The 14,959-nt window shown below is 39.3% G+C and overlaps 1 protein-coding gene across 49 annotated transcripts in view; it reads left to right on the top strand.

Moving 5' to 3' along the window:
* SYNE1 (spectrin repeat containing nuclear envelope protein 1) overlaps nt 1-14,959 on the top strand; it is a 515,676-nt gene that overhangs the window by 349,986 nt on the left and 150,731 nt on the right. For 36 of the 49 annotated variants that reach the window (XM_047418508.1, XM_017010610.2, XM_017010609.2 and 33 more), the window contains 3 exons: nt 3,193-3,399; nt 5,397-5,570; nt 9,097-9,288. In XM_047418508.1, the coding sequence (XP_047274464.1) occupies nt 3,193-3,399; nt 5,397-5,570; nt 9,097-9,288 (573 nt within the window). The remainder of the gene's footprint in view (nt 1-3,192; nt 3,400-5,396; nt 5,571-9,096; nt 9,289-14,959) is intronic. The other 13 variants (NM_182961.4, NM_033071.5, XM_017010615.2 and 10 more) reach the window with 1 other exon arrangement.

Raw genomic sequence — 14,959 nt, 5'->3', positions numbered from 1 at the left:
AAATGGGTTGATGGAACAGAATTCGAGCCCAGAGCAGAATCACATTTATACAGACACTTGACTTGTGGCAAAGATTACACTGCAAAACAATGGGTGAAAAAAAGAAGAATTTTCACCTCTTTCTACACTGGACATGAAAATTAAGTTTATGTGGTTTGTAGATCTAAATGTGAAGTTATTACCAAAAAAAAAAGTTTGAAAATAATACTTTAAAATATCTATGGTGAATGATCTTTTTAAAAAACATTCTAATCCATCACAGACGGATACTTTAGTAAAATTAAATCAAATGCTGCTTGGATGTCATAACTGTCAAATTACTATAAAAGTTTCTTAGCACTTGCTCTCAATATGTTTATCTCATCATAAGCCAGTAACAAACATTGTGCAGACTGTTATTATTCTGTGGACCACGCTTTGAGTAGCATTCTTACAGAAGATAACGTATGCGAATGTATTCTATTTATGACCTTGGATTAGGCAAAAGATTTCCTATATAGTATACCAAAAGCCCTAACAATAAAGGGAAATATTGATTCTATTAGACCATGATAAAATTAAGAACTTCTTTCCATCAACAGATATTATTAAGGAAGTCTCTTCCCGTTAAGGGAAAACCATGCCTCAAAGTGGGAACAGATTATTTGCTATATGCAGAACCAAAAGAAACACAGGCACTCCTATCCAGAATATACAAACAACTCCATACATCAATAAGAAAAGGAACAACTCTAGTGGAAAATGGGCAAAAGATTTTTAGCAGGCAGTCACAAAAGACACTCAATCTCATTAGTCATCGGGGAAATGGAAATTAAAATTACAATGAGATTCCACTATTAAACCCACTAGAAAAACTTAAAGTGAAAACAATTCACAACCAGGCGACAGTGGAATATGGTATAATGATAAAAATGGGTTAACTCTTTCTCCGTGCAACAAAATGAACGACTCTCACAATCATGAAAGGAGCCAGACACAGAGCAGTGCATCGTGTATGACTCCATTTCTATAAAGCTCAAATAAGGGCCAAAGTCCCCTGATATTTACAAGTTAACACAGTGGTGATTTTTGAGGACAGCAGTAGCAAGAAGGAGGAGGTCAAAAGAGCTTATAGAATCCTGGAAATATTCCATTTCTTGATCTGGGTAGCAGCAGCATGGATATATATAGTTGGTGTGCTTATAATCTGTTCACTTTTCTAGATGTATATAATATTAATAGTTTATTTAAAAATTAATTGTCATGATGATATTTGATATTAGGAAAAGATAAGGGGTTTTTGCTGTTTAACATTGTGAGAGCCCACTCTGAGGAGGCACTGCACTTACAGTGAAGCCTCCAGTCCTGTGGAAAAGATAGGAATTATGCAAATAAGGGCACATTGGAAACTATGAAATGCTGGCAAATATAAAGCCTATGTTACTTTACTTGAAATCATAGTTGCCGCTCTGGTGATAGAGCCTGTTTTTCCAACTTCATTGAAATCCTAAATAACAATTTCTCCTGTGAAGATTCCATCTAAAGAGCAAGTCATAAAATACTCCAAAAAAGAGAAATAAAATCAAGTATAATTATGATAGACAGGAAAACAGGGTGCTATGAGAGAGAATGATGGAGATTTTCTTAGGATTGGGTGGTCATGAAAGGCCTCTCTGAAGATATGACAATTAACCTAAGAGCAAAGGATGAATAGAGCCATCTCACACAGAGCGGGAAGAGTTTTTCGTGTTGAGGGAACAGCATGTTCAAAGGCCCTGAAGCCAGGAAGTGACTGAAGTGGGGCCCTGGAGTGGCTGAAGAAGGCTGGAGTATGGTGAGCAAGAAGGGAGTGTGGCACACGAGGCAGGAAGAGTGAGACTACACGAGTGTAGTAACAAGTTTGATTTATTTCACAGCAAGAATCCAGTACATATTTCAAAGCAGGGGAGTGAGAGGACCTAATTGATATTTTCAAAAGGTTGCTGTAATTGCTTCATATAGACTGGACTGGAGCAACAAGAGTGTAAGCAGATAGACTCATTAGTAGACCATTATATAGCAACTCAGTCGAGAGAGGAAGTTGACTTTGGCTTCAGGTGGGGGCAGTGGGGATATTCAGATATACAAGATATATTTTTGAGATAAAAGCCATTGGACTGGGTGATGGTTTGGATCTGGTGAGTGAAGGAGAGGAAGGTGTGAAGAGTGATTCCCAAGTCTCCAGCTTGAGCCATAATGAGAGGTGGTGGAAGACAGGCGGGGAAGCAGGATTAGACTTAACACTATGCAGACACCCGTGAACTAGGTAAGTTGAATACACAGCCTGAAACTTAGGGCAGGTGTCTGGGTTAGGGATGTACCTTTGGAAGTGCTCAGGATTAGAAAGCATTTGAAATCTTGGGAATGGAAGACATCACCCGGGAGAGACCCTTATTTTTTAGAGTTTGGTAAATGAGAAAAATGAGTAGTGTGACGACATAGAAATAGGTTACAGGTTTCTCCCATCCTGTGAGAAACCATGTGAGTTTTGGACTAGAGTTCAATGCTGTTTCAGATTTGGGGAAAGCAACAGGTTAATGTGGGAAAATCATGTTGAGGAAGAAAGTAATACATTTTATTTTCAACGTTGTATTGGAGACTCTTAGAAATGATTGAGAAATGTGGTGGCTCATGCCTGTGATCCAGGCTGGAGGATTCCCTGAGGCCAGGAGTTTGAGACCAGCCTGGGCAACATAGCATGATCCTGTCTTTACAAAAAGTAAAAAAAAAAAAAAAAAAAAAAAAAAATTACCAGGTGTGGTAGCACACACCAGTCCCAGCTTCAAGCAGGAGGGCCGCTTGAGCCCAGGAGTTCAAGATTACAGTGAGCTGTGATCATACCACTGCACTCCAGCCTGAGTGACAGAGTGAGACTCTGTCTCTAAAAAATAAAAAATAAGTTGGTATTACAGATGATCCTTGTATTACAGATGATCCTATTGAAAACTAGAAAGATTAATTAAGTTGTTCAAACTCACTTTGGTTAGTGATACATACATAAAATCAGAAAAGTCCTGGCCTTTCATTTAGAAATGTAGGTGAGTAGGCTGCTATTTGTTGATTGATTAATGATTCCCAGGTGAAATCTCTTCCGCTAATCCCAATGGATGTGAGACTCAGCTAGTGCTAATGATCCCTCAGTGAAGAAATGAATACATGAGTGTGATTCCACAGTCTTTCCTCCAGGCATTGATGGATGAGATTCTCATGCTCCAGGATGAAATCAATGAGCTCCAGTCCTCTCTCGCAGAGGAGCTGGTATCCGAGTCTTGTGAGGCCGACCCTGCGGAGCAGCTGGCCTTGCAGTCCACGCTCACTGTCTTAGCCGAGCGAATGTCCACCATCAGGATGAAAGCCTCGGGGAAACGGCAGCTTTTGGAGGTAACCAATAACTGTAAAGTGGCCTCCTCACTTCTGAGTTAACTTTTAACGTTGTGTTACCAAGTATGTGGGTTACTTACGTATTTACATTTTCATTGCTTCCCTCTCCTAAGCTGGGATTGTGTTTCAAGAATGGTCTCCACGGCCGGGAGGGGTGGTTCACACCTGTAATCCCAGCACTTTGGGAGGCTGAGGCAGGTGAATCACGAGGTCAGGAGTTTGAAACCAGCCTGGCTAACATAGTGAAACCCTGTCTCTACTAAAAATATAAAAATGAGCCAGACATGGTGGTGTGTGCCTGTAGTCCCAGCTACTTGGGAGGCTGAGACAGGAGAATCACTTGAGCCCGGGAGGCAGAGGTTGTGGTGAGCCAAGATTGCACCACTGCACTCCAGCCTGGGCAACAGAGCGAGACTCTGTCTCAAAAAAGCAAACAAACAAACAAACAAACAAAACAAAACAGTCTCCCGAATAGAGTACAGTCAGTGTGTAGCCATGAATATGTCCTTTGACTCCTTTCTGACTCATTTCAGGCGTGAAATATTGAGAATGTGGAAAGCAAATTCTTGGTAGACATGAGCCTTGTGAAGAATAATTGTAGAGGATTTGCATAATGGTTTGCTATGTTTACACGACAGCATTTGATGGATGATATTACTAACACTATAAAGAATAAATCCTACTTAGTCACTGTTAGCCAATTCAGACATAGTAATTCATGAAAATACTCTTGCTATTCTGGTTCCCACGTTACTTAATTTAAATATTATTTAATATAGAGACAAATTTGGGCAGCAGTAATATCTGTGTTAAAAATCAGCTATCTTCCTTTTTTATTTGTTCTCTCGTAAATTCTTGGCCCTAAGCTTCTAGGCTACTCATATTGTTGCTCCTGTAGTTTGGTTAGACTGGAGGCTCCCTAAAGACCTTTACAGTATCTATCATCTTGTATCTCTTAGCAGCTTCTCTGGCACATAATGGGTTCTCAATACATTTCTTATTATATGAACTGAATATTATTTTATTTAGCTGCTAATTACACCATAATGCAATTAACCATGACCCTGTTGCTGGGTGTGTAGTCTCTCTCTAGTTTTACCTATTATATGATTAGTCAAATAATATATTCATATATTAGATTTGTGCAAAAGTAACGGCAAAAATCACAATTACTTCTGCACCAACCTAATACTTCTTGTATTAGAGAAATTTAAAGCCGATGTGTCTGCCCTACTTCTTAATTTCTATTTTAAATGGTTTAATAAAATTAATTTTAAAATAATGAATTATTCATAAAATAATTTTTAAAATAAAGTATTTAGAGTATTTTAAAAGTTAACTTTTAATTCATTTATATTGTCCCCAGTAACTCTATGAAAAACTTGTGGGGGTTTCAAAATGAAGCGATTGACGTCGATTTTTTTTTCAACATGAATTATTTGCAATCATTGAAAAACTCAGAGAGCTAACCTAGAAATTTGGATTTCTCCCTTTACTGGAGATGAAAGTTAACACTGGGCCACCGCTTCCCACAGGGATCAATTGCCTGAAACTGTATGTGGCTGCTGTTTTAGACAGGCCGCATGTTTTTCAGTTTGCCACAGTCTCCATCACTCCCTACTCTTCCCAGAAATAGAGGTCCGGTGTCTACTGCCATTTACCAACCGCTTTATGCCATTGTTTTGTTCTAATCCTTGACTGATTTCCATCATTTCTATTACTGCCTGGTCCTATAGGTATGTTATTTGAGAATACCTTGTTCAACTCTAGGTACACATTAAAATCACTAGGGAGTCTTTTTAAAAATACCAATTTTGAGACTCACCCCTAGAAATTCTGATTGTTGTTCTGGGATGTGGCCTAAGCAAAGGAAATTTTTAAAAGTTTTACCAGTGATTCTTATGTACAGCCAGGGCCTGGAACCATTGCTTTACTGTGTTAAATTCTCAAGATTTTACCTTAGCGTGATCTATATTACCTTCTACTGAATTCAACAGGAGAAGTTGAATGATCAGCTGGAGGAACAAAGGCAGGAACAGGCCCTGCAGAGGTATCGCTGTGAAGCCGATGAGCTGGACAGCTGGCTCTTGAGTACCAAGGCCACTCTGGACACTGCGCTGAGTCCACCCAAGGAGCCCATGGACATGGAGGCCCAGCTTATGGACTGCCAGGTACCAAAATGGTCTCAAAGGAATATGTCAACATCATGAAGCACATTTTTTTAAACTACAGAAAACATACTATAAAAAGGCTTGGTGTGGATATATGATTTTTCCCAACCCATAGACTTTATACATTTAAAGAATAGAAAAGTAATACATTATAAAAGCTTAAATGAAATCCAAACTTGGACTCACTTTTTGAAAAACATTGACCACAGTGTCTCCGGCTTCCTAAAGGTCATGTTTAAAAACTGTAGATACCAAAATACCATAATATCTGTATTTAGTACTTATTAAGGAATACAAAGCCAATGGGGAGAATCAGTAGCAGTGAGTCAGACTGGAAATAAACACAACAGGAAGTATCTCTAGGTGCTCTGTTACAATTTTGGTTCTAATCCTGATATATTATTCGGAAAACTTTTCCAAGTGTCAGTTTTAGGCAAACAGGGAGACTGAAGATGGGAAGGCTGTCTTTTGGAGCAGAGAATGTGTTTTCCACCTATGTTAGGGCTCTAGGAATTACTGTGAGGAGTAATTGCATTAAAGTCTTTATTCTAATGCTATTTTCTTACCTCTTTATTATGGAATTTTTCAAAAATGCATATAAGTATAAAGAATAGATAATGAAGTCCCATATGCTTGTCATCAAACTTCAATGATGATCTTCATATTTGACTTCGCACATGGGTGAAGTATACCTTAAAAGCTTTTTCATTTTATTAACTAGGAAATATCTAGAAAACCCTGTCTAGTCTTCAGGGTTAAGTATCAATATATACAACTTTATATTCCTTTTTTTTGGACTCAGAGGAAATATGTGAAAATCATTACTTAGTGCACACTAACTTTTTTCTTAATTTACGGTACACCATTTTGGCTATTCTTATTTGTGATTTGAGATTCATAATATTGATCATTATCATTCGGATTTTTTAATGCTTTAGGAAACTTATCTATGTGTATCCAAAGCACTGTTATTCTTTGCCATGATGATAGAGATTAATTAGCCATATGCAAGTTTTTCTGCTCTTTATATCTTCTTTCTAATGTTTATTTTTTGAGAAGAAACATCTATTAGCCCATTGCCTTTTGGCACTTGAAGTTACCACCCAAACTAACATTTCAAAGTTATGTTTTATCATACTGCCACCTCTCTCTTGTGAAGATATCTGTTTTTATTGTAACACATAAAGTCCATAAACCAGGTAATGTATTTCAATACTTTTCCAAAGTATTAAAATAGTGTTTTGACCATACTTTAAGACAGGGGTGTTCAATCTTTTGGCTTCCCTGGGCCACATTGGAAGAAGAAGAATTGTCTTGGTCCACACATAAAATACACTAGCACTAGATGATGAGCTTAAAAAAAAATTACAAAAAAAAAATAACATTTTAAGAAAGTTTCTGAATTTGTGTTGGCTACATTCAAGGCTGTCCTGGGCCACATGCGGCCCATGGTCCGTGGGTTGGACAAGCTTACTTTAAGAAACTGGAAACATATTAAATCACACCAGAAAATAGTTTTTAAAAATCTAATATTAAATTACTACATTAAATTAATTCAAATTTTAATTAGATTCAATTAAAATCTTACATATAAGCCAGCTAAAATCTTGTCAGTTAAAATCTAATATGAATTCAGTTGCACACTAATTATAACGGTGACTATTACACAGAATTGGAACCACGTGATGTCCTTTGTGGGTCTGGGCACTTCATTTTTGTAGGCTGTTTCCCCCATGGAAGTGCTAAAAATTATGTTTTCAGTTTTACAATTGCTGTGGTACAAAGACTTACATGATTCGGAATAGATTTGTTGTGATGTATTCCATATTATTATATTCAGTTTTTTTCTTTTGATTTTAAAAGAAATTAAAATCAAACATTTTCTTGGGGCTCTAAAAGCATCACAGACCCTCAGCACTGTACTTGCTGTGCCTAATGGTAAAATCAACCCTGCACAGAATTATGTTAATTTCTTAACAATAATCCTCAGGAAATCATCTTTTAATTCCTATTTTAATAAAAGTATTACTCTTCTACTTAGTTCTAGTTTTTTGGTTTGATGTTATATTCTTTTTTTTTTTTTTTTTTTTGAGACAAGGTCTCACTTTGTCACCCAGGCTGGAGAGCAGTGGTGCAACCTCAGCCCACTGCAGCCTTGACTTCCTGGGTTCAAGCAATTCTCCCACCTCAGCCCCGCAAGTGCGGGGAGTACAGGCACGTGCCACCACGCCTGGCTTATTTTTTTGTATTTTTTGGAGAGACGGGGTTTCACTATGTTGCCCAGGCTGGTCTCAAACTCCTGAGCTCAAGCGATCTGCCTGCCTCGGCCTCCCAAAGTGCTGGGATTACAGGTGAGAGCCACCACACCCAGCCTGACTTTATATTCTTAATTTTGATTTTGTATAGGGAAATGAAGTATCTTTTCTCATTAACAAATTACTTTATTTAATATAAAGAAGAAAGTACATTTCAAAGGGTGCAGAATTAACATAAAAACAATGATTTATAAGGAAAGTAAAACTTTTTTTTGTTTTTTTTTTTAGTCTTTTTTGTTTTTTGTTTTAAGTCTTATCTAGGAAGAAGAAAGGCTATTTTTCTTTTTCTCTAATTTAGTCTCCATTTTAGAGGAGACCTTGTCTCAAAAAAAAAAAAAAAAAAAGAAAAGAAAAGAAAAATTGAGAGGCTCAGGCAAATTTTTTATGGACCCCTCTAATACCATAACAGACAATTAAAAGTCACCAGACACAGTGGCTCACACCTGTAATCCCAACACTTTTGGAAGGCTGAGGTGGGAGCATTGTTTGAGCCCAGGAGTTTGAGACCAGCCCAGGCAACAAAGTGAGACCTTGTTTCTGTTGAAAAAATAAAAAATTTAGCCAGGTGTGGTGTCACATGTCTGTGATCCCAGCTACATGGGAGGCTCAGGCAAGGGGATCCCTTGAACCCAGTAGATGGAGGCCGCAGTGAGCCATGTTCATGCCAAAGCACTCCAGCCTGGGCAACAGAACAAGACCCTCCCTCAAAAAAAAACAAAAACAAAAAAGGGCCAGGTGCAGTGGCTCTCACTCCTGTAATCCCAGCACTTTGGGAGGCCGAGGTGGGCGGATCATGAGGTCAGGAGATCTAGACCATCCTAGCTAACACGGTGAAACCCCGTCTCTACTAAAAAACAAAACAGTAGCCGGGCATAGTGGTGGGCGCCTGTAGTCCCAGCTGCTCGGGAGGCTGAGGCAGGAGAATGGCGTGAACCTGGGAGGCGGAGCTTGCAGTGAGTCAAGATCGCTCCACTAAACTCCAGCCTGGGCGACAGAGTGAGATTCTGTCTAAAAAAATAAAAATAAATTAAAAAATATAAAAAAAAAGCCTACAGACTACTTACTCGTCAAGGCCGTGGGAAAACTACAAAAAATCATGAAAGCCTGTCCGTTTCGTAAAAGACTCCAAAGGGCTGTATTTCACTGTGGGAAACAGTCTTTGCAGAGGCTGGGGAGATGTGTGAGTTTCATTCTTATTTCTGTTGCTGCAGAATATGCTGGTGGAAATAGAGCAGAAGGTGGTGGCTTTATCAGAACTGTCAGTCCACAATGAGAACCTGCTGCTGGAGGGCAAAGCTCACACCAAGGACGAGGCCGAGCAGCTGGCTGGAAAGCTGAGAAGGCTCAAGGGGAGCCTGCTGGAGCTGCAGAGAGCCCTGCATGATAAGCAGCTCAACATGCAGGTGAGGGTTCCAGCCGCTGGCCCACAGCTGAAAGTTGGCACACTGTTCACGTGCTCCTTCTAAGGTTTGCCAGGTAAAGGAACAGGTTGGCGGTGACGCGTACTTGTGTGTGTACCTGCTTTACGCTGACATTTTAGCATGCAGCTTTAAGTTTACACTCTTGGACTTTGGCAAACATTTGCAAATAGATTTTGTTAGGACTACTAACAACAGCTGTTCAGCGGAGTGGTGGAGGCAAAAAGCACTCTGACATGAAAGTAACAATGAGAGGAGAGGAACTGGAGAGGGAAAGTAAAGGCTACTCCAGGAGTGTTGCTGTAAAGTGGTATATAGAGGAATGAGATAAGCTATAAGGAGAAGTGGGTCAAAGAAAATTTTATCTCTTTTTTTCTTTTACATTCATCACAATTTGAGTATTTCATTTTAAGATCAGAAAAATAATAAGTTTACACGTTGATGGAAATAACTCAATAGAGGAAAAGTTGGTGAAAAAGGAATGTGGGCAGGGCGCCGTGGCTCACGCCTGTAATCCCAGCACTTTGGGAGGCCGAGACAAGCAGATCACTTGAGGTCAGGAGTTCGAGACCAGACTGGCTAACATGGTGAAACCCCATCTCTGCTAAAAATACAAAAAAAAAAAAAAATTAGCTGGGCCTTGTGGTGGACACCTGTAATCTCAGTTACTCGGGAGGCTGAGGCAGGAGAATTGCTTGAACCTGGGAGGTGGAGATTTCAGTGAGCCGAGATTATATCACTGCACTCCAGTCTGGGCGACAGAGCAAGACTCTGTCTCATAACAAAAAAAAAAAAAAAAAAAAAAAAAAGAAAAAGAAAAAGGAGTGTGATTGCAAGAACAATCTTCTTGTTGGGGAGGAAACGGATAGGATAAAAAGTACACAGGCCAGGTGCGGTGGCTCACACCTGTAATCCCAGCACTTTGGGAAGCCAAGGCTGGCAGATCATGAAGTCAGGAGATGGAGACCATCCTGGCTAACACGGTGAAACCCCGTTTCTAATAAAAATACCAAAAATTAGCCGGGCATAGTGGTGGGCGCCTGTAGTCCCAGCTACTTGGGAAGCTGAGGCAGGAGAATCTCCTGAACCTGAACCTGGGAAGCAGAGGTTACAGTGAGCTGAGATCGCACCACTGCACTCCAGCCTGGGAGACAGAGGGAGACGCCGTCTCAAAAAAAAAAAAAAAAAAAAAAAAGAGTGCAGAGTTTGGTCTTCCCTACCCTTCTTGCTAAGTAAGCCAGGGACCAAATAGTTTAGAAGCCCATTAGCTGCCCCAACCCTATAAGCATCTGATGGTATCATCTGCTCCTTCTTGTGGCCTAATCCAAACTGTGCCTTCCTTTACCATTTACACCTTTCTCCTGCAATAATGGTTGAGACCAGGCCAATCTGTTCTCCAAGTAAAATGAGGAGGGAGGGAAAGCATCTATGTTGGAATACAAATACTGGTAGGAAGTAGGACATAAATATTGTTAACGGAAACTTCATGGAAGTTCACTGTGATTGCTTCTGTTTTCTCAGTGTGAGGATGATTGTTAGGACTAACCTATGTATTTTTTTTTTCGGCTTTTTGCTGATGATATGATTATATGATATGGAAAACCAAACTTAATCAACTAAAAACTATTTAGAAGCAATGGAGAAATTTAGGAAGATGACTGGCTTATTAAAAATATGAAGTTAGGTCATTGAAAAGCATAAAAGAATCCAACAAAAAATAAAAATTAAAAAATGAAGTCAGCCGAGCACAGTGGCTCACGCCTGTATCCCCAGCAATTTGGGAGGCCAAGGCAGGTGGATCACCTGAGGTCGGGAGTTTGAGACCAGCCTGGCCAACATGGTGAAACCCCATCTCTACTAAAAATACAAAAATTAGCCGGGTGTGGTGGGGCATGCCTGTAATCCCAGCTGCTTGGGAGGCTGAGGCATGAGAACTGCTTGAACCTGGGAGGCAGAGGTTGCAGTGAGCCGAGATTGTGCCACTGTGCTCTAGCTTGGGCAACAGAGTGAAATCCTGTCTCAAAAAAAAAAAAAAAAAAAAAAGAAGTCGAGAATTTATAGTTTTTACATAGACAAAAAACAAGTTAGAGGAATAATGTAATATCCCATATAAAATTTTGAAAATGAAGAGTTTTGAGGGATTATTAGTCTTATCATATATGTGTGTGGATTTTTTTTTGTTTTTTTTTTTTTGAGACAGGGTCTTGCTCTGTCACCCAGGCTGGAGTGCAGGGACGCAATCTCAGCTCATTGCAACCTCTGCCTCCCAGTCTCAAGTAATGCTCCCACCTCAGCCTCCTGAGTAGCTGGGACTATAGGCGCGCACCACCTGCCTAGCTAATTTTTTTAATTTTTTGTAGAGATGGAGGTCTCTCAATGTTGCCCAGGCTGGTCTTCAACTCCTGAGCACAGGCAATCCACCCACCTCAGCCTCCCAAAGTGCTGAGATTATAGGCGTGAGCTACCATGCCCGGCCAGTCTAATCACATATTAAAATACAATATTACAATAATTAAAATAGTTTGGTGTTGGCGCAATAAATATGTGAACAGAAAATTAAACAATAACTATTCCAGAAAGAGATTTGGTATGTAAAGGAATTTGATAAATATTTTAGGTGGCATTACAAATCAGTGGACAAAATATGACTCACTCTGTAAATAATCACTTGAAACGTGATAAACTGTATTTTCTACCCCATATTTTACAGAAAAATGTATCACAGGTGGATCAAAGATTTCAATATAAAACTTAAGTCTGCAAGGTACTCAATGTATGATTTTTTTTTTTTAATCTTAGGATAGGGAAAACCTTTGCCAGTATACCCCAAACCCATAATTTTATAGCTTCTTTTAAACTAATACATTGGCAGGGCTTGGTGGCTTATGCCTGTAATCTTAGCAGTTTGGGAGGCTAAGAAGGGAGAATTGCTTGAGCCCAGAAGTTCAAGACCAGCCTGGGTATCATAGCAAAACCCCATCTCTACAAATAATAAAAACATTAGCCGGGCGTGGTGGCACACGCCTGTGGTCCCAGCTACTAAGGAAGCTGGGATGGGAGAAGCTGGGAGGAGGTGGGAGAATCCCTTAAGCCCAGGTGGTTGAGGCTGCAGCGAGCTATGATTGTGCCACTGCACTGCAGCCTGGGTGACAGTGTGAGACGCCAACTAAAAAAATAAACAAATGGGCCATGGCTCCCACCTGTAATCCCAGCACTTTGGGAGGCTGAGGCAGGTGGATCACCTGAGGTCAGGAGTTCGAGACCAGCCTAGCCAACATAGTGAAACTCCGTCTATACTAAAAATACAAAATTAGCCAGGTGTGGTGGTGGGAACCTGTAATCCCAGCTACTCAGGAGGCTGAGGCAGGAGAATCACTTGAACCGAGGAGGCAGAGGTTGCAGTGAGCCGAGATCACGCCATTGCACTCCAGCCTGGGCAACAGGAGTGAAACTCCATCTCAAAAATGAATAAGTAAATAAATAAATAAACAAATAAAAATGAAACTACTACACAAAAATAAAAAAGTTCTGTATGACCCCCCTTCCCCACCCCCAAAAAAGTAACCAAATTGAAAGACATAGACAGGGAGGAATGAGTAACACAAAATAAAACAAAAGACATAGACAAACAGGGAAGAAACTATGCAATTCACAAATCTTTTGTAAAACAATAAGGAAAGATCAAATAATAGAATATGGACAAAAGATATGAAGAGATAATTCACAGGAAAAGAAATATAAATGGACAATGAACATATGAAAAGACGTTTGAACTCTGTGTTGGGTAAATAGATGCAAATAAAAAATATAACTTTTCACTTGGATTTACACACTTGAAAATGCACATGCAATGTGACTTTGTAATTAAAGTCAAAAGAAAAGGTTACACATACTAAAACTGAACAGAAGTAGAATGATTTTCTAGCTGTAAAAGTAGACAGCAATTCACCTAGTTTTGTAAACAGCTATTATAGGTCTAATATATAATGCTTTCTTCTATTTTCAGTGGTGATCTCTGAATGAACTTAATTTCTAAAGAAGCTAAAATAAAGGGAAAGCCTTGAAAGTTTCCTAGGTAGGATAGCAATCATTTATAAAGCTCTTATTACTCCCTTGCCCCACCCTACCGCTAGAGGCAGGTAGTAAGGGAAGGGGCGGCCTGATCCTCACTCACAAGCACAAGAGGGATTAAACAAGGCAGGAACCACAAATTCCAAGGTCTCGTGGCCTGGGAAGGGCAAAACCAATGAGGGGAGCAGGCCCAGCCTGGCCCTTGGCAAGCTGGTCTCCTGTCTAAGAAGCAGCTGTTACTAAGCTCTAGCTATTATCACACAAGAATTTACAAGTGGCATTGCTGGATCTTCTAGTTTTTCAAGAGATAGGGAATGTGGATTTATTTCTAAAGCCTCCCAACTTTTAAACGTTGACATTTAAATCTAAAATTTTAAAATAATTTGTGTGCCAAAGAAAGCATATCCACAAGCCAGGATTGAAATCTGTTTATCTTTTTCCCATTCATTATTAACGAGGTGACCTGGGGCAAGAGCCTTAAATTTTCCACAACTTTCTTACGGATCAGTTTTCTCATCTGTAAAATATGGATAATAATATTTAACTTAAAAAAATTCTTTAGAACATGTGGAAAAAATAATCAAAAAGAAAAAAAACAGTGAGGATTTAAATGCAAGTAATACAATAAATGCTCAAATTGCAGCAGTTAAAATAATTAATAACAATAACCAACTGTTTCCAAATCACATTCTTTGAGACGAAGAAGCTTCTGCTATGCTGAAAGGCCAGGCTTGAGACTTAGCGGGCTGGACTGAGCATGTACACACCACTGTGGTGTCCACACCCAGCAGATCCTGCCCAGGTCCACGGGAATTCTTTAAACTGAGTCAAGTCCTGACCCTGCCCACATTGGGTGAAGTGTAAATACAGAAAAATGTGGTAGTGTTTTACTACATGGAAATTGGTTACTGTTTATTTTTAAACTATCTATAAATTCCATCATCTTTCATCTAATGAAGTTCCCAGCATATAAAATATTACTAGATCTTTTAAAATAATTAGAGCTTCCTGGAAGATTGTTTTTCCATCTGTGGGAAGAAAAGGAGCCCTGTTTACATTATTATTGCCATGAAAAGGATCATGTCCCTTTATGTAGAAAACTAAAAATAATTTGGAGTTAATCTGAAATTAACTAAAGTTAATTGCAGAAAACAAATCATCCATTAAATGCAGCCCTCAGCAATGTTAATGCTCTTTAATTGGGGCTTGGATGATTCAGGAGGGTTGGAATACCTTCCTAAGTCTGTAAGCACACCATTACTTAGTGCTACTGAAGCTGGGAGATGGTAATACCTCTTACCTCCATTCCTTTTAACTAATTTGACTTGCATGGGTATCAGTGAATGACTATGCTTTTTTGTTTCCTATCAAATAGACTGCTTCTCTATGTGAAGATCTTAAGGGCATGTAGTAAGATCTCCTGAATTACGTGGTATCTTCATGAAGCTGGGTCTTTTTCACACATTATCATTCATTAAAAGAACAGAGAGATTGCCCCATAAAATAATAAAAAGCTTTATAAAGAAATGTTTTATGTAATGTTTAGCACTGCCCAGTCCTCATTCATCTTCCAAGGAATGTTCCT

This window comes from Homo sapiens, chromosome 6, assembly GCF_000001405.40.
Source record: "Homo sapiens chromosome 6, GRCh38.p14 Primary Assembly".
Taxonomy (NCBI): domain Eukaryota; kingdom Metazoa; phylum Chordata; class Mammalia; order Primates; family Hominidae; genus Homo; species Homo sapiens.
Note: the sequence above shows the minus strand (reverse complement) of the source record. Positions and strands in the feature narration are given on the sequence as shown.